Raw genomic sequence first — 22,962 nt, 5'->3', positions numbered from 1 at the left:
GATCCTGCACACTCAACTCATGGGAGACGATAAACACTGAGACCTCTTCCCTCTCTCCACCAGAACAGAGCTTAAATGCAGATGCTTTCCCCCAAACTCATCACATACCATATAGGAGGAAAGAGAGAGGCTTACGGAAATGAATGCCTGCCGCCCAGCCACCCTGTGCAGAACTTCCATCTCACTGGGCATCTCACATTGACAATACAGAATGTCCCAAGCACCAAACCCTTTGATATCTTCTCTGCTGTCACTTCACACACTTTGCATTAGGAGAATGCTGGTAATCAGGAAAGAGGATTTACATATAGCATTTCAGCTTCTCCACATGCAACTAATTCTGTAACCATGTTTTCAAAAATACAGTGAGGACCGGGTGTGGTGGCTCATGCCTATAATCCCAGCACTTTGGGAGGCCAACATGGGGGAACACATGAGGTCGGGGTACAAGACCAGCCTGGCTAACACGGTGAGACCCTGTCTCTACTAAAAAAAATACAAAAATTAGCTGGGCATGGTGGCACATGCCTGTAATTCCAGCTATTTGGGAGGCTGAGACGGGAGAATTGTCTGAGCCCGAGAGGCAGAGGCTGCAGTGAGCCAAGATCATGCCACTGCACTCCAGCCCGGGCAACAGAGCAAGACTCTGTGTCAAAAAAAAAAAAAAAAGATAAGGTGAGGCTCGAAGGACTTTGTAAAATACTAAGACACTAAATGCGTATTTTAAATTTGCCCATTAAGTTTTGGGCTGCGTAAGAAATTAGTAAAAAATATTTCCAAATAACATGCAGAAGTTGTTTTTAAACTTAAAATCTCATATTTTAGCTACACCCACAGCGATGCTATAGAGAGGAGCTGGATTTCGTTGTATCTGAATGGCTCAGATTATGTTCCTTCCAAAAAAGTTATTTTATGTACGATCATTTTTTATATGAAGCATATGAAAAATCACCCAGAATCTACCACGTATTTACCACATAGACAAATGTCCATCTTTAGATCTGTCATTCAACACCATGTTATTCTTTTTATGCAACAGAATGCAGTGTGTGAGAAGTACATCAAGAGAAGAGTAAAAAAACAACCAGGGGTAAATTCATAATTCGGACACTACTGGCTCTGATTTTTCTCAAATTCAGAAATTAATTAAAATTTTAATAGAACATAGAGTCCAAAAACAGACACACATACACATGGAAATCTCATTTATGACAAAGATAACATGTCAGACCAGTAGATAATGATTATGAATTAATCAATACATGGTATTAAAGCAACCAGCTAGGCATTTAGAGGGGGGTGGGGGAGGGGAGACTAAATCCCTAGCTGGTTCTTTATCCCAAAATCCACGTGCTCAAATAATTTAAAATGTAAAAAAGAAAATATGAAAGTACTAGGACAAAATATAGCTAAACACTTTTTTTTTTTTTTGAGACGGAGTCTCACTCTGTCCCCCAGGCTGGAGTGCACTGGCGTGATCTTGGCTCACTGCAAGCTCCCCCTCCCTGGTTTACGCCATTCTCCTGCCTCAGTCTCCTGAGTAGCTGGGACTACAGGTGCCCACCACCACGCCCGGCTAATTTTTTATATTTTTAGTACAGATGGGGTTTCACCATGTTAGACAGGATGGTCTCGATCTCCTCCCCTCGTGATCCGCCCGCCTCAGCCTTCCAAAGTGCTGGGATTACAGACATGAGCCATCGCGCTAAATACTTTTATAATATTAGAGTAGAGAAGGATTTTCTAAGCAAGACATAAAACATCAAAATCACAAAAGATTGATATAGTTAACTAAATGAAGATTTCTAAATATCGGTATGATTTTTTAAAAGACAGTAAACAGTGAAACATGAAACAACAAACTGAGGAAAAACATATGCAATACAAATAACAAAGAGTTTAGCTTCTTAATATACAAAGATTACTCACAAATCAGTAACAAAAACAACCCAGTTGAAAATGGGTAAACGATGTGAAGGGGCAGGTAACAGAAAAATATAGTCAGTCAATAAACAAATTTTTAAAATATCCATTGTCATTATAAAGAAATGCAAATTAAAATAGATTATCATTTTTAATCTATAATATTAGCAAAAATAAAAAAATTTATTATATTCATGGTTGGGTGGGGTGGCTCACGCCTGTAATCCCAGCACTTAGCGAAGCCAAGGAGGGGTGCATCACGTGAGGTCAGGAGTTCGAGACCAGCCTGGCCAACATGGTGAAACCCCATCTCTACTAAAAATACAAAAATTAGCCAGGTGTGGTGGCAAACACCTGTAATCCCAGCTACTCGGTAGGCTGAGGCATGAGAATCGCTAGAACCTGGGAGGCAGAGGTTGTAGTGAGCCAAGATTGTACCACTGCACTCCTGCCTAGGTGATGGAATGAGCCCCTGTCTCAAAACAAACAAACAAACAAACAAAAAATTAGGTTATATTTTGTGTTGTAAGGGTGTAGAAAATCATGTCATCAAACATTTAAAGGGAGTGTAAATTGGCGCAATATTTGAGGTTAATTTTGCAATATCTTTTTAGATATCAATCTCCTATTCTCTGACCCAACGTTCTATTTCTAGAAAATCCCACAAATACATTTCATTCACGTACATTAAGATTCAGGTACAAAGATTTTTATTGCAGAATTGTTTGTAAAGCCAAAAAATGAAAACTACCTCAACATTTATCATTAGGGCACCAGTTAAGTAAATCATGATATACTGTTGTGAGAGAACACTATGTGACTTTTAAAATAAGTGGGATTGCTCTATACATGGGGCCAAGGAATAATACTCAAGGTTTACCTTTAGAGGAAAAAGGCAAGAAAATGTTTGCATATGCATAGACCATAGCTTAAAAAATACACAAGAAATAGAAGACATTAGTAGAGAAAGGTGGTCTTTTTTACTTTTCATTTTATACCTATGTGTACCTTTTTTATTCTTTACAAGTATACATTAAGTTTAGTCATTAAAAACAACTTTAAAAAGACTGATCTATTTGCTAAGAGAGTAGATCTCAAAGTATTCTTACCACAAAAAAGATAACTATGTGAGATAATGAATGTGTTAATTAGCTTAACTGTGGTAATCATTTCATAATGTATACAATCAAAACATCATATTGCATACCTTAAAAGTGGACATTCAATTTTTACTTGTCAACTATACCTCAGTAAAGCTGGGGTAAGAGGAAAGACTGATCTTAGCAAAGATTTTCTTCATAGAAAGGTTTTGTTCATTAAAAATGGAAACAAGACATTTTTAATATTTGAGAGAACTGTTTTCAAACACCCTTGAGCACTTTAAAATGGCTTAATTATACACAATTAACATGCTTCTCAGGCCGGACACAGTGGTTCATGCCTATAATCCCAGCACTTTGGGAGGCCAAGGCAAAAGGATCCCTTGAGGCCAGGAGTTCGAGACCAGCCTCGACAACATAACGAGAACACTGTCTCTACAAAAAATTTAAAAATTAGCCAAGTGTGCTGGAGGACCTGTGGTCCCAGCTACTCAGGACACTGAGGTGGGAGGATTGTGTGAGCCTGCGAGTTTGAGGCTGCAGTAAGCTATGATCACACCACTGCACTCTAGCCTAGACGACAGAGAGAGACCCTGTCTCTAAACAAAACAAAGCAAAATAAAAGTAATATGCTTCTCATTTTAATCAATTTTACAAGGCCTCTGAAGACACTGCTTTCCAACCTTATTCACATCCCAGCAAACAGAGAAAGTGCTATTATCTACATAGCACCAGGGCATACGGGCCCACATGGCTACAGCTGGAAGAAGCCAAAGGGCCACAGCCTACCCAGCCCATCTCCCCAGGCCAGCATCCATGTCTCTGCACACTTGTGGCCCAATGGCAGCACATTCTGCCCCAGCCCTTTGGTCCTAAGAACGTCTATTAATGCCATCTTAGTATAAGTACCTAAAAAAAACAAAGATCCTACAGTAAGCATCTGCTACAACTTAAAAACAAGCAAAAATAAATGTTACAGTGTTAGAAGTCAAGACAACTAGTTACTTTTTTTTTAAGGTAATGCTTGGAAGGGGGAACAGGGTGGGCTTCTGGACAGCTGGTAACATTATTTCTTGACCCAGGTGTTTACATAGGTCTGTTCCATTTGTGAAAGTCCATCGTGCATTAAACTGAAGATTAGTGCACTTTGTATGTTATACTTCAATAAAAAATTTAGAGTATGTTATAAATTTAGTCGAATGAATGAAAATAATGATGTTCTACAGTATTCATTTAGTGAATTGAAAGCTATTACTCAGCACCTTTTACTTGCCAGACCCCGTAGCAAAGTATATAAAGAGAACAGCTCAGCCAGAGCTCCTCTTGTGGAAACAATCTACTTAAACTCCCTTAAGCCTTAAAGTTACGAGGATGTAAAACAGTCTGGGAGAAGAGGCTGCTAAGGTAATATCTTGAATATTACATGCCAGGCAAGGTTCCCCGTTAGAGGCATTATCTACGCAAACTGTCAGTATTTTGCAATGAGAAAAGTGAGCCCCAGAGATTACATGATTTGCCACAGCGAATACGTGCCCAAGTCCACCTGCTGCCAGGGCTCATCTGCCCTCCACTGTGCCACCCTGACAGCAGTGCTTGCACAGTGACCCAACAGCTGTAATAGCAGACCTGGGAACCTCTGATCTCTAACAGTCCCCTGCAGTCCAGCAGGTTGGCCTTCTGGATTGATCACATTTCACAAACTGACATTTCCTGAACCCAATTTATAGTGCTTAAAAAGTATCCTATGAGAAAGTAAAGGAAGAAAAGAACTGGAAATGGTTGCCTCCTGCACTGTGGAGCTGGGAACCCTGGAGCAGTCACACTGCCTGGCTTAGGGTCCACTTCCCACATGGCCTTTATGACATTGAGCAAAAACATTTCACATGGCTAAGCCTCTGTCCTTCACACCTGCAGATCGAAGACAAAAAGCCAACCACATAGAGTTATTTGAGGACTAAATGAAATAACATGAGGACAGTTCACTGTAAACTGTAAAGTGCTAAACAAATATATTGTTGTCGCTGCTGCTGTTGGTATTATTATAAACGCATTTGAGCCTTTTACTGCCATCAAGGTGAGACCATCTCTGATACTGGACTTTGCCTCTGCACATCTCATACATTCCCAGAAATGACAAACAGTTACCTGTAACTCCAAAGAACCTGACCAGGACCCTAACATTGTGGGAATTTGCATGTTTTCCTTCCACGGAAATGCTTCAAACCTGGTTCAAATTATTCAATAAAATTATTAAATTATGTTTTTAATACAAGACCCCTTATTTTTAAAAAGTCCATTCTATCAGACCAGTGGTGCTCTCCCTACTACATGCCAGTTTTGAACAAATAATTTGTAACATATAACAATAACAAAAATAACTGGTTTGTGGCACAGTTAAGTTATTATGTGCATTGGGATTTAGAATCATACAAAGCTAGTTCTATTGCTCGAAGCATCCTTTATTAGCAGTCAGTCCTTGAGCATGTTACTTAAATCCCTGTGCTGCAGTCTCTTCATTAGCAAGATAAAGATGAGAATAGAACTTGCCCTTATAAGCCTATTAATGTCATAATTTATGTAAAGCACTTATTCAGTAGGGTAGATTAAGGATGATCACAAATTCTTGCTATTCCTCCCATCAAGAGGTGGAGTCTAATTCTCCTCTCTTTGCTTCTGGGCTGAAGCAAAGCATTTACCTTGGTAAAATGCTTGATCAATAAAATGTGGTAGAAATGGCATTCTGGGATCTGTGAGGCTAGGTCAGAAGAAGTCTTTTAGCACCCACCTCCCAAGGCTCTGGAACACTTGCTGTGAACTCAACCAGCCACCATATGACAAGACTGGCCACCCTGAGACTCCATGCTATGAGGAAGCCCAAGCTACCCAGGTAGAGGGGCCACTTGGAGAGAGTTGCTTGATTAGCACCCAACCGACCCAGCCTGCCCGGTCCGCTCACCAGACAGGTAAGCAACAAAGCCTTCAGATAACTAACCACTGCTCATCTGAGCCCAGTCAACCTACAGAACTGTGAGAAATATTAACAAGTTGTTATTTGGAGCCACTGAGGTCAGGGTAGTTTGTTATGCGGCAATAGGTAGCAAACACTGAGCACAGTCCCTGGCACATGAGTTATACTCAGTACAAGTCTACGTGCTTAGGATTATGGGGCTATTACCTTTTTCAAACACTAGAACAATTACAAGCTCATCTGCATAATGACATCCTTCTTAATCAAAGGCATTCTGAAGCGCTTCCTTAAAAGAAAGGCGTGCATTCCAGGGCTATGTACCAATCCTTCTCAATCATTCCTGATGTTGCCGAGATTCACAGCAGAAGCAATTACAAATTATTATAGTGCCTGTGAGTCTACAATTACTGTTTTTCTTTCACCCACGGATATTTTTAATAAGGAAGAAGCCAAGGGCATATAAAGAAGGCACAAGTAGAGTGTAACTACTTTGTTCATAAGCACAAATAAGAATGTGCACATCTGGTTATTTGTGACACAACAGTTAAGATTAACAAGTCAGAAGCAAAGCGCTGATGCAAATGAAGTGTCCAGTCATGCAATTCTCATTAACAGTAGCAACATGTGTAAATCAGTACATTATGTGAAGTATCATTTCAATAATAATGTTTTTTTTTTGTTTTTTTTTTTTTTTTTGAGACGGAGTCTCGCTCTGTCGCCCAGGCTGGAGTGCAGTGGCGGGATCTCGGCTTACTGCAAGCTCCGCCTCCCGGGTTCACGCCATTCTCCTGCCTCAGCCTCCCAAGTAGCTGGGACTACAGGCGCCCGCCACTACGCCCGGCTAATTTTTTGTATTTTTAGTAGAGACGGGGTTTCACCGTTTTAGCCGGGATGGTCTCGATCTCCTGACCTTGTGATCTGCCCGCCTCGGCCTCCCAAAGTGAATAATGTTTTTTAAATACTTATATTTTGATTATACAATATTACACACTAGGTTCTTGCTATGCTTTAGATGTAGTCTGTTTGTCCCCACCAAAACTTGTGTTGAAATTTGATCACCAGTGTAATAGCGTTGGGAGGTGGGCCTCGCGGGAGGTGTTTGGGTTATAGGGATGGATCATTATGAATACACTTAATGCCGTTCCACTGGGGTGGGTGAGTTCTGACTCTAGCAGGAATGGATTAGTTCCAGAAACAATCGGTTGGTAAAGAGTCTGGCTTATTTGGTTTTGCTCTCTTGTATCCTCTCTCACCATGTGATCTCTTTGCACACACCCACTTCGCTTCCACTTTCTGCCATGAGTGGAAGCAGACTGAGGCCCTCACCAGATGCAGCTGCCCCGTCCTGGACTTTCCAGCCACCAGAATCGTGAGCCAATTTCTTTATATATTACCCAGTCGCAGGTGTTCTGTTACAAAACACAAAATGGACTAAGAAAATTGTCTTGCTAAGATTAATCTATGAAAAATAATATATATAACTCATCTTTTTAAATAGAGGTATTTTTAAAAATTTTTATTTGCCATATTTACTAACAATTCCCTAACAAATGAATTGTTTTGGAAGATCTTGAAATGACTGAGTTCATTATTCACATGCTCATAAAAATGCTTTTACAGGCCAGGCACGGTGGCTCACGCCTGTAATCCTAGCACTTTGGGAGGCTGAGGCAGGGAGATCACCTGAGGTCAGGAGTTTGAGACCAGCCTGGACAACATGGTGAAACCCCATCTCCACTAAAAACACAAAAATTAGCCGGGCATGGTGCCACACGCCTGTAATCCCAGCTACTCGGGAGGATGAGGCACAAGAATTGCTTGAACCCGGGAGGCAGAGGTTGCAGTGAGCCAAGACCACACCACTGCACTCCAGCCTGGGTGGCAGAACGAGACTTGGTCTCAAAAAAAAAATGCTTTTATGAACAAAACCTATTGCATTCTTTGCTTTATTTTGCAACACAGACTTCTGAGGTTTCAATAGTATCTGCATCTAGTCATGGGAGTAGCTAGGATTTGCAAGGTTGTCTATTAGTTGTGTCATACCAGAAAAAGTAGTAAAACTGTAGAGCTGAGGAATTGCATCTTGGCAGACACTGGCCATACCTGAGAACATACCTCCATCTTCCACCTGGTGGTGCCACAGGAATGCAGCCTTCCTTGTCCTTGTCCAGAGTCCTGCCAATACTGTGACACTTCGTAAGGGAACAGATCGGTTCCATCAGTCCCTGGATAATCACAGTGGTTAGAGCAGGGTTTCTCAGGCCCCTTTAAGACTCCACATACTTTCATAAGGGGAAAAACAATCTCATGGACCCTGAGGTAGTCATTAACTATTCCACTGTATAAATATACACAAATAATAAGGGTACACATAAACTGTGCTATTCTGAAACTACAAAATAGACACAGATACATTGATTAAATACAAATTAAACTATAAAGCCAACGACCTTCCACTTGACATTAGTTTCACATGATGAACAGTGTTGCTCCACTGTGGCTGGATTCCGAGGTACGCATCATGCACCATGTCATGGTTTAATTCCCTTGTGCTCCATACACAGTCCATCAGCAACGTTTGTCAGCTCTACCTTCAAAACACAGCTTACATGGGATCATGTGCACCACCTTGCTGCTACACTCTGGAAGTCACCACCGCTCCCATGTTCCTTCTGCATCCTCCTGTGGTCAGCCCTCACACAGCTGCCAGGGCAATCTCATAAAAGCTAAGTCAGATCATGTCCTTGCTCTGTACCAAAACCTTAGCAAGCTCTCTCACTTGATTCCAAGGAAATGCCAAAGTTCCTACACCAGCCCGCAAGACCGCGCCTGATCCAGCCCCAAACCTCCCTGACCTAACCCCCTTCTACACCCTCCTCTCCCTCCCTTCTCTTTCCTGCCCCAGTCACACTGCTCGCCTGCTGTTCCTCAGACTCACCAGGCACATCCACCCTGCTCCAGCCTCACAGACCTCTCTGTCTGGTGGCACACATGGCTGCCCTGAGTACTGTCTCTTTGATCTTCACTCAGATGCCTCCTTTCAGAAATGCCTTCTCAAGCCCCTACCTGAAACCACACTCCTCCCAACCAGCATGCCCAGGGCCCTTCCTCACTTTCCTTTTCTCCACAGCACCCCTCACCATCTGCCACACTCGGTATTTGTGCACCGCCTGTCACCCCTACTAGAATATCAGCTCCATGAGGTCAGGGACAGTCCATGTTGTTACCTGCTATTCCCCCAACCCCTAGAAACTGCCTGGTATACAGCAGGCACTCAGTAAACACCTGCTGCATGTGCTGCAGAATCACATGGTCTTCACATGGCCCCAGTTATTTCTTTTTTTTTTTTTTTAGATGGAGTCTCGCTCTGTCAGCCAGGTTGGAGTGCAGTGGCGCAATCTCAGCTCACTGCAACCTCCACCTCCCATGTTAAAACAATTCTCCTGCCTCAGCCTCCTGAGTAGCTGGGATTACAGGCATGCACCACCACACCCAGCTAATTTTTTATATTTTTTGGTAGAGACAGGGTTTCACCATGTTGGCCAGGCTGGTCTGGAACTCCTGACCTCAAGTGATCTGCCTGCCTTGGCCTCCCGAAGTGCTGGGATTACTACAGGCATGAGCCACTGTCCCCGGTCGACCCCAATTATTTGTATACTAACTCTACATCGGTTATTTTCTCCTTAGCCAGTATTAATGACGTTAACGTTGTCACACAGAATTCTGTGACAGGATGATGACCTGGAAGATACAGGATATACTTTTATTTATTTTTCAAATAACAGCACACAGAAAACAGATATGCCACACACAGAAAACCTGTAGAACCCTAAGACGGATAGACAGGCTCATAACTTTCCTAGACCCCATTTTGAGGAATAGGAAATCAGAGAATGGTGAAAAAGCCCAAATATCACCCCATGAAGAGGTCACCATTCCCCAAAAGGAGGTGGCTGCCCTCCCATGATGGACCACGGACCCCAGAGAACGACCTGCACAGGTGAAAGCACAGCACTACCTGCTAAGCCAAATCTGCATCCTGTTGATGCCAGACCTGTCATTTCACCGAAGCTATAAACTCAAACTGCAAGACCCCTTTATAATCGGACCTAGAGTCACTTTCCAATTTCATTACCAGTGTACCACTTATTTCCAGTAAGAACCAAATGGATCTCGCCCTGTCAAGCATCTCCTTGTCCCCTGCAACACATTTTGCAGGTTTTAACGAAATTACACAAAGTAATACATGCTCACTAAATAAACCAATACAGAGAAGCAAAAAAAAAAAAAAAGAGAAAATTACTTATAGGCCCAAATCTACCCCCCGCACCAGGCAGGTAACCACTCTGACACCGAATCTTGGGGAACCTTCTCCCTGTGTGTGTGTGTCTCATGTAAGTGAAGCCACTCCCACCGGCTCCCAGACACGCCCCCTCCGCACCTCACCTGACATCAGCCCTTCTTCTGGTTCATTAGCAGACACCACACGCTCTCCCTGGTCACCCCAAACTCCACCAGCCCTCACCTTCTGAACATCTGGCAACTAAGCATCTGGCGATATCCCACTGGGATGTCTGGTACTGTTACCTAACTTTTCCCATGTACGCCCTAGCAGGCCAAGGACATTGTTAGACTGTAAACCTCAAGGACAGAAACTACCGCATAGCACCCATGTAATACAACTTTGATAACTAAAGATTTCAGGCTGGGTGTGGTGGCTCACGCCTGTAATCCTAGCACTTTGGGAGGTCGAGGCGGGTGGATCACTTGAAGTCAGGAGTTCGAGACCAGCCTGGCCAACATGGCGAAACCCCATCTCTACTAAAAATAGAAAAATTAGCCGGGCATGGTGGTGCATGCGTGTAATTCCAACTACTTGGGAGGCTGAGGCAGGAGAATTGCTTGAACCCAGGAGGCGGAAGTTGCAGTGAGCCGAGATTGTGCCACTGCACTCCAGCCTGGGTGACAGAGCAAGACTCCATCTAAAAAAAAAAGGTGAGCCTGGCCAGGCTTGACGGCATCCCTGGCAGCACCCTGCTGTGCCCCGCGGCTTGCTGAGTGCCTGCTGTGGCACGGCGGGAAGGAGTTTGGCACACTCCCACTGAAAGGGTGGGAGCAAGTGAAAAGCAGGGTTAGAAACACTTTCCTGTAAAAGCGAAGCCTTGGATGCCTCTTTCAAGGAGGTCGGGCTGATGACTCATCGTGTGAAGTGGAGAGAATAAGAAAATAAATTAAAATGATGGAAGAAAATGATCCTGCAGGGGCAGAAAAAAAGCAGCGACATAACAGAAGAAATACAGGGCAGGATGGTGAGGTTGACATTGGTCCTAAAATATAAAGCCGTCCTCCGAACGTGAAACAAAAGACAGAAAAAAAAGAAGTTAAATGAGGAGGTGAGTGTTACAGAAAAGGAGGGCAAGCAGGATGACTTATCTTTGGCTGTGGGATTACAAACAAACTAAAGAGGAGAACAAATAGGATATTGCCAGCTAATACAATGATGTGTCATTATTAAAAAATGGGATTAAAGCCATCATCCTGTATTCCTCACCTCTACAGTCTAAAACTACAACAGCATGTATCATTTCACTACTAGATCATTTCCCCTCCCTCATAATTAGATCAAATTTATTTATTTATATATATATATATATATATATATATATATTTTTTTTTTTTTTTTTTTTTTTTTTTTTTGAGACAGAGTCTTGCTCTGTCACCCGGGCTGGAGTACAGTGGCACAATCTCGGCTCCCTGCAACCTCCACCTCCTAGGTTCAAGTGATTCTCATGCTCCAGCCTCCCTAGTAGCTGGGATTATAGGCGCACGCCACCACGCTCAGCTAATTTTTGTATTTTTAGCAGAGAGGGGGTTTCACCATGTTGGCCAGGCTGGTCTCGAACTCCTGACCTCAAGTGAGCCACCATCCTTGGCTTCCCAAAGTGCTGGGATTACAGGCGTGAGTCACCATGCCTGGCCTTCAAATTGTAATTAGCATGCATCACTTTATGTTATGGTCTGAATATTTGTGATCCCCAAAATTTGTATGTTGAAATCCTGACCTCCAAAGTGACAATACTAGGAGGTAGAGCCTTTGGAAGGTGATTAGGTCAGAAGGCTAGAGCTCTCATGAATGGGATTAGTGCCCTTATGGAAGAGGCCCCAGGGAGCTCCCTTACCCAATGGGAAGACTCAGTCTGCAACCCCTTAGAGAGCCCTCACCAGAACCTGCCCGTATTGGCACCCTGATGGTGGACTTTCAGCCTCCAGAACTGAAGGAAATACATTTCTGTTGTTTTTCAGCCCCCAGTCTATGGTGCTTTACTATAACAGCCCAAAAAGACTAAACTACTTGATAATTTAAAAAATTAGCTCTTTAGAAGTTTATTATGAAAGTTCAGAAAATAAGGCTGGTTGCAGTGGCTCATGCCTGTAATCCCAGCACTTTGGGAGGCCGAGGCAGGTGGGTCACCTGAGGTCAAGAGTTCAAGACCAGCCTGACCAACATAGTGAAACCCCATCTCTACTAAAAATACAAAATTAGCCAGGCATGGTGGCGCATGCCTGTAATCCCAGCTACTTGGGAGGCTGACGCAAGAGAACTGCTTGAACCCAGGAGGCAGAGGCTGCAGTGAGTCGAGATCACACCACTGCACTCCAGCCTTGGTAACAAAAGCAAAACTCCATCTCAAACAAACAAACAAAAAAATTCAGAAAATATTTTAGCTGCTAAAATGAAGTATAAATTAACTACGTAGTATTGATGCCATGAGATGAACTTTAAAAAACACTTTCTAATCCCAGCACTTTGGGAGGCTGAGGCAGGTGGATCACTTGAGCCCAGGAGTTCAAGACCAGCCTGGGCAACGTGGCAAGCCCCATCTCTACAAAAGAAACCAAAAAAATTATCCAAGTGTGGTGGTGGGCACCTATAGTCCCAGCTACTCGGGAGGCTGAGGTAGAAGCATTGCTTGAACCCGGGAGGTCAAGGCTGCAGTGAGCTGTGATTGCACCACTGCACTCCAGCCTGGGCAAGACCCGGTCTCAAAAAAAGTAAATAAAATAAATAAAAAGTAAATAAATAAAACTTTCTTAATTAACCTTGCCATAAATGTAAATGCCCTGGCCAATAATCTGATTATTTAAAAAACAAACAAACACACAAGAACACCTTGCTCTTTCTCCTTGCCAGCAGTGGGCAAATTTTATGTGATACTCCACATACTGTGTGTACGTGTGTCTGTGTGTGTACGTGCGTGTCTCTCTGTCTTTCTTCTTCTCTTCTCCTCTTTCTCTCTTCTTCTCTCCACTTTCTCCCTCTGTCCTTCCCTCCCAGAGCGACACATTATATTTGCAGATCCTAGTTAGGAAAGTGATTCCATGAAGGCAGAGAGTAGTCCTGGAGAATGCAGGTATCCTTTTCTTCAAAAAAAAATACATTGATAGAAAGGCATCTAGCTCTCTGTGACATCCTGTTCAAAGAAGAGAAAATAGAAGGGAAATGACCTCCCTGTGTTCTGTTTGCTGTCCTGCAGGCCCCTTCAATTTTCTGATAACTCGAGTCTCCTAGGCACCTCTGGGGGAACTGAAAGTAGCCTAAGATATCTTCTGGGTTAAATATGGTGCAAACAGAAGCCACATTCATGACTTCTAGAGAATTCAAGCAGGTCTGAGACATCTAAACCAAGGAAATGTATTCGAAAAAAACTCATCAAAAGATCCCACAGTGAAAAACCCATTTGGTGACCTGATGTTAAATCCGACTTTTCGGAAGCAGGAGGATCACTTGAGACTGGGAGGTTGAGGCTGCAGTGAGCTGTGATCGCACCATTGCACTCCAGCCTGGATGACAGAGTAAGACCCTGTCTCAAAAAACAAAAAAACAAAAAAGAAGCCCACTTTTTGGCTGGGCAAAGTGACTCACACCTGTAATCCCAATATTTTTGGGGAGGCTGAAGTGGGAGGATCGCTTGAGCCCATGAATTCAAGACTAGCCTGGACAACACAGCAAGACCCCATCTCTACCAAAAAAAAAAGAAAGAAAGAAAGAAAGAAAATTAGCCAAGTGTGGTGGCACGCCTGTAGTCCCAGCTACTCAGGAAGCTGAGGCAGGAGGATCACTTGAGCCCAGGAGTTCGAGGCTATAATGAGTTATGATCACACCACTGCATTCCAGCCTGGGTGACAGAGCAAGACTCCGTCTCAAATAAAAATTCCATTTTTCTTTTCCTCATTTCTGCTGACAAAGTTAGGTAACAAAAAAGACCACTCTGGCTCCTCAGGACATACTCTCCTCTCCACAGCTCAGCAGCTTACCACAGGAGGAAGCTGTAGGACCAGCGTCAATCCCCGGGTAAATAAGAGGCAGACGCCTCCATCCTGGGCTCTGAAGACACTGAGCACACTCAATTGTCACCCCCGCCAGCCCACTCCCACCTCTTGCCTTCTTTTCCCATAAAGCACATACCACCTCCTAACAGACCATATGATTTATTTTCCCTACCTTCCTGCTAAAATGTAGGCTCCAAGAGGTCAAAGTTCTGTGTCAGACACACCACTGCCTGACACTTGCAGAAGCTAAGAAATTTTTTTAAATAAATGCCACAGAGATAAGTGGGAAAGAGTATTTTAATATTATACATGATCACGTTAAAAAATAAGACCACTCGAGATCGCCTGCGTTGTATTCTCACCCAAACAATGAACCTGAAAGAAGTAATGAGGAAACAATCAGACACTTCCAGATCTTGGGACCGCCTACAAGACAACTGGCCTGGCTTCTTCAAAAATGCCAGAGTCATGGGGAAAAAAGAAGGGGAACTGTTTTAGATGCACAGTGACTAAAGAGACAGGACAACCAAATGAAATACATGATCTCTAACTGGACCCTTTAAATAGCTGGAAAGGACATTTGGGGGCAACTGGAAACATCTGAACATGGACCATATGTTTGATACCCTGTGTTCATGTTCAATTTAGGGGATGGGAGCATAGTATTGTGGTTACATAGGAGAATGCCCTTTTTCCTAAAAGACACATACTGAAGTATTTGTGGGTAAAGTGCCACCATGTCTGCAACTTACTTTTAAATGGTTCAAAAAAAAATGTTTAGTATTATTTATAAACAGAAAGACAGGCTGGGCACAGTGGCTCACGCCTGTAATCCCAACACTTTGGGAGGTCAAGGCAGGCAGATTGCTTGAGGCCAGGAGTTCGAGACCAGCCGGCCAACGTGGTGAAACGCCATCTCTACTAAAAAAAATACAAAAATTAGCTGGGCATGGTGTTGCACACTTGTGATTTCAGCTACTCAGGAGACTGAGGCAAGAGAATCGCTTGAACCCAGGAGGTGGAGGTTGCAGTGAGCCGAGATTGTGCCACTGCACCCCAGGCTGGTTGACAGAGCGAGACTCCATGTCAAAAAAAAAAAAAAAAAAAGAGAGAGAGAGAGACAAAGGACAAGTGACAAAATGTTACTCCTGCTGAATCTAGGGGACATTCATAGTCCTTTCAACTGCTGTGTAAGTTTTAAATTTTTCAAAAAAAAAAAAAGGGGGCAAAGGGAATTAAAAATAAAAGACCCAGTGCTAGAGAGACAGGGAGTAGGGGGTGTCAATGGAAGAGTGGGCAGGCTGGGAGGGGAGGGACTGTGCCAGAAAATACAGTGAGATCCAAGCCCCCTGCCAGGGCCTGGAGTGCACACCCACCTTTCCTTCCCTGTCCCTTTAGGCACTGTTCAAATCCTTCCTACTCCAAGAAACCTTCCCAACTCCCCACTTCACAGCCCCCGCTGTATTTGACTCCCACCATATCCCACTATACATGCAACACCTCCTGCCTCACACCCATCAGCAAGGGCCGTGTTCCTGTGCGTGTGGCACAGGAACCAACCAGAAGCCTCTCCATCCCAGGCAGGGACCAGATCCCTGCCTGACCTACTTTCTGTCTCTAGCAGAGTTAGCACAGCACTGTGCGACAGCAGGTACCCAAGACAGACCTGGAGCAAGAACTTTCTGTCCCTCCCATGCCGTCAAGTCTACTAAGCGGGATGACAGTCAGTATTTCTCATCATCACAACACACTACTTCTGTTCCGCATGGTGGGCCATGGTAAGCACCATAATAAGAATCCAGTCAATGCCACAGAGCTCACTGCTGGTGTGTTCGTGTCTTTGGGAAGGCAACAATCACTGCCATCCTGTCTACATGCAGCCACCCACAGCTCCCAGCATAAAAGAAACACTCCACAAATGGTGAATGGCTGAATGAATGAATACCTATTCCATTTTCAAACACATGTCATAAGTGATAAAAACTAAGATAAATGAAAGTGTAAAATCTGCACAGGCATGCAAACACCAAATAAGCGTTATCTACCAGGCTTAATTAAATTTTAAAGGTCTTTTCCAATTAGTGAACTCAAAAGCTTTTGCGTTCTAGCACAGAGGTCCCCAACCCCTGGGGCGGTACTGACCCATGGCTTGTTAGGAACCAGGTTGCACAGCAGGAGGTGAACAGTGAGTGAGCATTACCAGCTGAGCTCTGCCTCCTGTCAAATCAATGGTGACATTAGATTCTCACAGGAGTGCAAACCCTGTTGTGAACTGCGCATGTGAGGGATCTAAGTTGCATGCTCCTCATGAGAATCTAACTAATGCCTGATGATCTGACGTGGAACAGTTTCATCCTAAAACCATCCCCCGCCTCCTGCTCCCATCTGTGGAAAAATCGTCTTCCACAAAACTGATCCCTAGTGCCAAAAAGGTTGGGGACCACTGTCCTAGCATCTTAAAATGTAAAGTTTCCTATTTTCTCATGGCTGTGGCCTTAGAGCAGACCTAAAGGATATATCACACTCACTAAAACAGTGTCATTGGGCCAGGGCAAAAGTAGAGGCCACATGCCTGAACACTATTGACAAGGTACTATGGAATTAATATTTGTGTCCCTCCAACAAAATTCCCATTTTGAAGCCTAACCTCCAATGTGAGGATATTAGGAGGTGGGCCTTTGGGAGGTGCTTAGGTTGTGAGGGTAGAGCCTTCATGAATGGGGTTGGCGTCCTTATAAGAAGAGAAAGAGACCGAGCACTCTCTCAGTCATGTGAAGTTACAGCAAGAAGGCAGCTGTCTGCAAACCAGAAATCGAGCCCTCACCAGGCACTAGATCTGCCAGCGCCTTGGTCTTAGACTTCCCAACCTCCAGAACTGTGAGAATTAAATGTCTATTGTTTAAGCCCTCCAGCCTATGGTATTTTTGTGACAGCAGCTCAAATTAAGACATAAGGGATGGGGGAAGGGACCATGAGAAGCTTGAAAATGCTCCTCAAATGATTCTGATACACACTCCAGAGATGCACTGAGCTCTGAAAGCTGAGGGAGGATGAAAGCAGCAATGCTGACCCTGAACAAAGGAGGAACAAAGGGACCCTGATGGATTCCATCAGCCTGGGATGGGTGCATAAGACACAGTGTTACCATATGCCAGGCACTGCTGGGAAGATAGCCCACTATATCATATTTATTCTCGTGTAACATAGAACGTACCCAGAGTCACCAATGCTGAACATACTTTCCACAAATGGTTCAATTTAGTAGAGGAATCAGTTGTGCCAAGAAATAAATGCTGTGGCTAGCCACTCAACCCTCCCCACCATCCCCCTTCCCCAAGAAATGCCAGTCTCGGGAGAAAAAATAGTAAGTTACTAGAATCTCAGACTTGGAAAGCAAATGTGATCATTACCTAGCCCAACCCACTATCCTATGCATTACTTCCTTCCACAATAACACTAACAAATTCTTATCACCTTATTGGATACTCTGTCATACAGTGCTCATAGCAACTCATGTGAGGTTGCACAGTTCTGATGATCTGCCTTACTGTGAGTATAAATCTGTTCTACTCTTGCGTCCTAGTGTCCCTGGGGAGACAAGAGGCCTTCCATGCGAAGGCCCTGGACATAGGTGAAGTACCCATTACCCAGATGTCTCACCAAATCCCAGGTATTTGACTGCTCTTTAATGAGCCACCATATACATTCCAACAAAGATCACAAGATGCTTCAACAAGCTCCTTACCAGAAGCAGGGAAGCCATCGGCTCTTTTAACTGATCACTCAGCTATTGAGGAAGTGGTAGGAATTTCTAAATTGTTGTCAAGACAACCAAAGTCCAAATATAAATCTCTTTGGGATTCCATCAGGAAGCAGTTTTTAAGTGCACGCAGTTTTTAAGTGCACGCACACAAATACCCCAAGGAGATAACAAAACAAAGGTCCCCTCCTTCTCTTTCTCCTCCTCCCCACTCTCTCCCTTCCTCCTGCTTCTTGCCACATGGTGATGTGTGTTAAAAATGCATACTGGGAAACTTTTCCACCTTTGGGGTTGAAGCAGCTGCTGCCTCAGTGTTGTTTTTGTTAAGTATTTTTTGTTGTTGTTGTTAACATACTTTGTTGCCTTTAAGCTTCATGTTTCATAATACCAGTTCAGATCACAAAGTGGGACGAATGACACTTTCCTGGTAAGAAGGAAACTCATGGGGTCCTGCCCAGGGTGCTTCCCCCTATCAAGCACACCCTCCTGCACGGCTGACTTCCACAGGTGACTCGGCTCAGGCCAGGAAAGGGCGTTCACAAAGGCTTGCTGGGCTGTCCCCATGTGGAATAAACCCAAGAAAGTCCACACATGAAATGTGAGCCAAGAATTTATAACAGGTAACCTAAACAAACCCAACGCTCTTCAGTCCTTGGTTTTCCAAGAACACAAAGCATTCAGAGAATGTTCCACAGGCCATTATCCATCCCATGTGGGAGCATTCACCAATAGAAATAAGCTTGGACATTCCTAATGTGCCAGGAAGACAGGAGAGGTTCAGGTAAAGAAGACCTGGCACCCGGCCCACTTTCACTCCCACCTGCTGCAAATGACTCTAACGTCAGGAGGTAAGACCTCCGACCCCATGGATGGAGCAGGAAACTACAGCAAAGAGTGACCAGCAGGGAGCCTGTGCTGAAAGCGCCTACTGCCCATGCCTAAAACAACCTATACCTTAAATGCGAAGCATGTCCCCAAGTCCCCACTGAGCACAGTACCAGGCACAAAAAGACCAACCCCTCAGCCTTCCCAGTGAGAGTGATATTTTGTTATGAAGTCTATGTTCTCTATCACCTTATAAGGGAAACCCGACAGAAAGTGATTCTAACAGGCAGAAAGAAGGTGTGGCTGTCAGGGTCTTGGTCATAGCAAGACTTCAGGGAGGTGTCTCATGGCTAAAAAACAGGAAGCTGAATGCCAGCCACACACAAAACTTCACCCAGAAAAGACAGACCTCCCTACGCAAAGCACAAATGAGCCCAAGGTTCCTGTTAAAATGTTGAAAGAGCCTGGGCAACATAGGGAGACCCCATCTCTACAAAAATAATAAAAAGTATTAGCTGGGCTGGGTGGTACACACCTGTGGTCCCAGCTACTTGGCAGGCTGAGGTGGGAGGATCACCTGAGCTTGGGAGGCTGAGGCTGCAGTGAGCCAGGATGGCACCATTGCACTCCAGCCTGGGTGACAGAGTGAGACCCTATCTCAAAAATATACATATATTTTTTAAAGGACTTTTGGACTTAGCACTGACTGATCCACAGGGTCTCTCGAATCAAGAGAATAAACCTAGGCTGATGCAGAAGGATCCACTGAGCCCAGGAGTTGGAGGGTGCAGTGAGCTATGATGGCACCACTGCACTCCAGCCTGGATGACAGAATGTGACCTTGTCTCAAAACAAAAAAGAGGAGAGAGAGAGAGAGAGAAGAGAGTAAACCGAAGACAGTCAAATGGTTTTGATCTCCCTCAATGTTATCCCACCCAGAGAATCAGCCTAATTGGATGAGCAGCTAGAAACACAGCCTGCTGCACACATCTCACCCAGGAAAGAGCCAGCCAAACGAGGGGATGTGGCAAATCTTACTCAGTGTGGACAACAAGGTCATTTGGTCTTTCAAATAAAATGTCCTCTGATTTCAATAAAACTGAAACTTACAGCCACCCTCAAAAAAAAAAAAAGGAAGCCACAAATGTGGTGTGATATGACTGATGTTTCTTTTCTTTTGTTTTCTTTTCTTTGAGATAGAGTCTCACTCTGTCGCCCGGACTGGAGTGCAGTGGCGTGATTTCGGCTCACTGCAACCTCCACCTCCCAGGCTCAAGCGATTCTCCTGCCTCAGCCTCCCGAGTAGCTGGGATTACAAGCATGCGCCGCTACCGCCCAGCTAACTTTTTTTTGTATTTTTAATAGAGACGGGGTTTGACCATGTTGGCCAGGCTGGTCTTGAACTCCTGACCTCAAATGATCCCCCCGCCTCAGCCTCCCAAAGTGCTGGGATGACAGGTGTGAGCCAACGCGACCGGCCACGATTGATGTTTCAAAGCCTCCGTCTGCCCAGAAACCTCTTCTTTCTCTGCTTTGGCATGGTTCTTCCAACTCCAAGTTCAAATTCCTACACACAGAACTGGCAAAGGTAAGGCACTGTCTGCAGGAAGCCACTCAAAGAGTGTGTATCTTTCTTGGAGATAAAAGAAGTAAAGAGATTTCCTCCAGCTTCCTCCTCTCCCAGGTTTGCTAATTGGCACCCTGAACTCATAGATTAGCAGGAAATGGTAACATGTATCTTAAGAGATCATCTGGTGTAGTCCTCTGCCTAAAGGGGGAACATGTTATTATGCCCATTTCATAGATGAGGCCACTGAGTTGCTTTGCTAAAACGACACAGCTCTTTGGTGGGAAAGAACGAGAGCCTAGGTTTCCTGCCTCTTGACACAGGGTTCTTGCCACCTGATCAGTGTCCTGGTAGGAGGACATAGAGACCTGTCCCTAAACACCGAAACTGAAAATAAGGGGTCCTGTGACACGGCAGGGCTTGGACCACCTCAGTAAAAGTCAAGAGAAAAGAGTTGCAGAAAAAAAGGCAAAAATATGTCCTATTTCACCTTTCCCAAGGCCAGTCCTGACAAACACGGCACATCAAGGCTGCCTCTTCATTCCTTGGAACACGACATTCCTTCTAAGTCTCTGAAGGCCTTTCCTGAGGCTGAAATGGCCCCTCAAGAGGGAAGCATGGGATTCCTGGAATTTATGTCTGGAAATATTAGAGGGCCTGGGGAACAGGAAAACCCACTCCTGCCACACAAAAAGGTCAACAGAGAAAGACCAGACTAGATCCTGGCTGTGGCTGAGCAAGTCGGGGGAGGTGGGGATCTGTGCGGATCTGTGCCAGGGGCTAGCAGGGAGGGCAGGGCCTTCCCAGATCCTCTGGAATTCTAAGCCAACCGGACAATCGAGTTAGCGTAAGGGATGGTTTTGGAAGAGGCCGGTGATGGGAGCCGATGATGGGAGCCTGCCGGAGGTTCCACAAGAGCCTAGAGGAAGCCTAGAGACGCTGGCACAATTCAGTCCTCACCGAAATCATTTCCTCTTTCTACAGTTCTTGTACCCCCATCTTGACAGATCAGTTCGCACAAGAATGCGACCCTTTCGCTGCCCTTTTTTAGGAAATGGTTTTCATGAGACCAGCTTTGCCAATGACACGGGCGGGTACACCAGATGCTAATGGCTGCTGAAAACGCCCTTAGAACCGGCTCTTCTTTTAGAAGAAGGAATTCTGGAATGCGGAGTGGGCCCCCGAAAGGAAGCGACCCTACGTTTATCTGAATTCCCAGGGGCGGTTCGCCAGCGGCTCCCTGCGTCCTCGCCGGGTCCCCTGTCTGCAGTCCCCGGGCCGCACGGATTGACTGCTTTTTTGTTTCTGGCTGCTTTAAGGCTTCTTCGGGCGGAGAAAACCCCACTTTAGGGGAGTGATGGTGGGGAGGACTTTCCCAGGCAGCTTCTTTCACCCGCAGCAGGGAAGTTTGCAGGGCGCGCTCCGCACAGGTCACTGCCTCACCTTCCACCCCGGCCGCGCCCTCGGCTTTCACCCCCTTGGCTGGGTTCGCTTTTGGTTTTATTTTTCTGTTTTACGTGAGTAAATCAATTGCCCCCAGGAGGCAAAAGAGCACTCAGCGACTTGGCTGAGCAACTTAAACTTTCTGCCGGAAGGAAACTATCAAAAGCGGAGGAGAAAGCCCTCGGGGCCCCAGACTCGCCGCCACTGCCCCGTCCCCGCTGGGGGTCCCCGCGAGGTCGCCGCGGATCCGGGGACTCGCGGGCCGGGAGGAAAGAGCGGAGTAAGCCCGGGGCAGGCTCGGACCCGGACCCCGGCAGGGTGAGAGCGGGGGCGGACCAGAGGGGCGCACGGACGGCGGGGAGGCGGAGAACAGGCGGGGTGCGGAGAGCGAGGGGCGCGGAGAGCGAGGGGCGCACGGACTAGGGGAGCCAGGGGGACCCGGGGAACCAGGGGGCGCGCGGACGAGGGGGACGGGGGCTACGAGAGGGGTGCGGAGAGCGAGGGGATCACGGGGACTGAGCGCGCAGGGAATAGGGGAGCGAAGGGGCGCGAGAGCGCGGGCCGGGGTCCGCCGGCGGGTGGCGGCCAGGACTCACCCCGAGAAGGCACACTTTGAGCTCCCGTATCGCCATCATGTGCTCGCAGCCAGGCAGTGCCGGGGCTCAGCAGCATCCTCCGGGGCCGCCGCGCCCGCGCCCCGCCGGCGTCTCTCGCCTCTGCCCCTCGCTCGCGCCGCCCGCGGGCGGAACCGCCGCCGCTGCTATTTCTGGGCCGCCGGCCCCGCCGCGGTGGGTCACGTGGCCGCCGGCCGGCTCCTCCCGGGCGCGTCGGGTCCAGCCTCGCCGGCCCCCAGCTCCCAGGAACGCCCCCGGACGGCGTCAGCCACCCGGGACCTGCGGCGTCGCCGGCGGATTGCCTCCGCCCTCGGACCAGCCCCGCGCGGGTCGGCCTCCCCCAGCGCCCTCCGGCATCCGCCCCTCCCGGCCCCGCCTGGCCGCAGGGCCCGGGTGGGTAGGAAGGACTGGACCGGCCCTGTGGAGACCTG

The 22,962-nt window shown here is 46.0% G+C and overlaps 1 protein-coding gene and 1 long non-coding RNA gene across 2 annotated transcripts in view, besides 3 other annotated features; both read right to left on the bottom strand.

Moving 5' to 3' along the window:
* The window catches only part of RAB31 (RAB31, member RAS oncogene family), a 154,251-nt gene extending 131,594 nt beyond the window's left edge, over window positions 1–22,657 (bottom strand). Inside the window, exon 1 of the mRNA NM_006868.4 lies at window positions 22,514–22,657. Coding sequence (NP_006859.2) covers window positions 22,514–22,552 — 39 coding nt within the window. The 5' untranslated portion in view covers window positions 22,553–22,657. The remainder of the gene's footprint in view (window positions 1–22,513) is intronic.
* Window positions 8,093–8,152: a silencer, noted in NCBI's record as "silent region_9289". NCBI's record gives its function as "represses an Ori minimal core promoter by ATAC-STARR-seq in GM12878 lymphoblastoid cells {active_cell/tissue: GM12878}" and the evidence as "EXISTENCE:reporter gene assay evidence [ECO:0000049][PMID:35858748]".
* On the bottom strand, window positions 14,602–22,286 carry LOC105371981 (uncharacterized). Its single transcript, XR_935131.2, has 2 exons — window positions 20,965–22,286; window positions 14,602–14,697 (listed from the first exon to the last, which is right to left on the bottom strand). It is a non-coding gene; the product is annotated as an uncharacterized LOC105371981 (long non-coding RNA).
* Window positions 22,063–22,292: a silencer, noted in NCBI's record as "silent region_9288". NCBI's record gives its function as "represses an Ori minimal core promoter by ATAC-STARR-seq in GM12878 lymphoblastoid cells {active_cell/tissue: GM12878}" and the evidence as "EXISTENCE:reporter gene assay evidence [ECO:0000049][PMID:35858748]".
* Window positions 22,393–22,962: a silencer, noted in NCBI's record as "silent region_9287". NCBI's record gives its function as "represses an Ori minimal core promoter by ATAC-STARR-seq in GM12878 lymphoblastoid cells {active_cell/tissue: GM12878}" and the evidence as "EXISTENCE:reporter gene assay evidence [ECO:0000049][PMID:35858748]".

This window comes from Homo sapiens, chromosome 18, assembly GCF_000001405.40.
Source record: "Homo sapiens chromosome 18, GRCh38.p14 Primary Assembly".
Lineage (NCBI taxonomy): Eukaryota > Metazoa > Chordata > Mammalia > Primates > Hominidae > Homo > Homo sapiens.
This window is presented reverse-complemented; position numbering and strand designations above follow the sequence as displayed.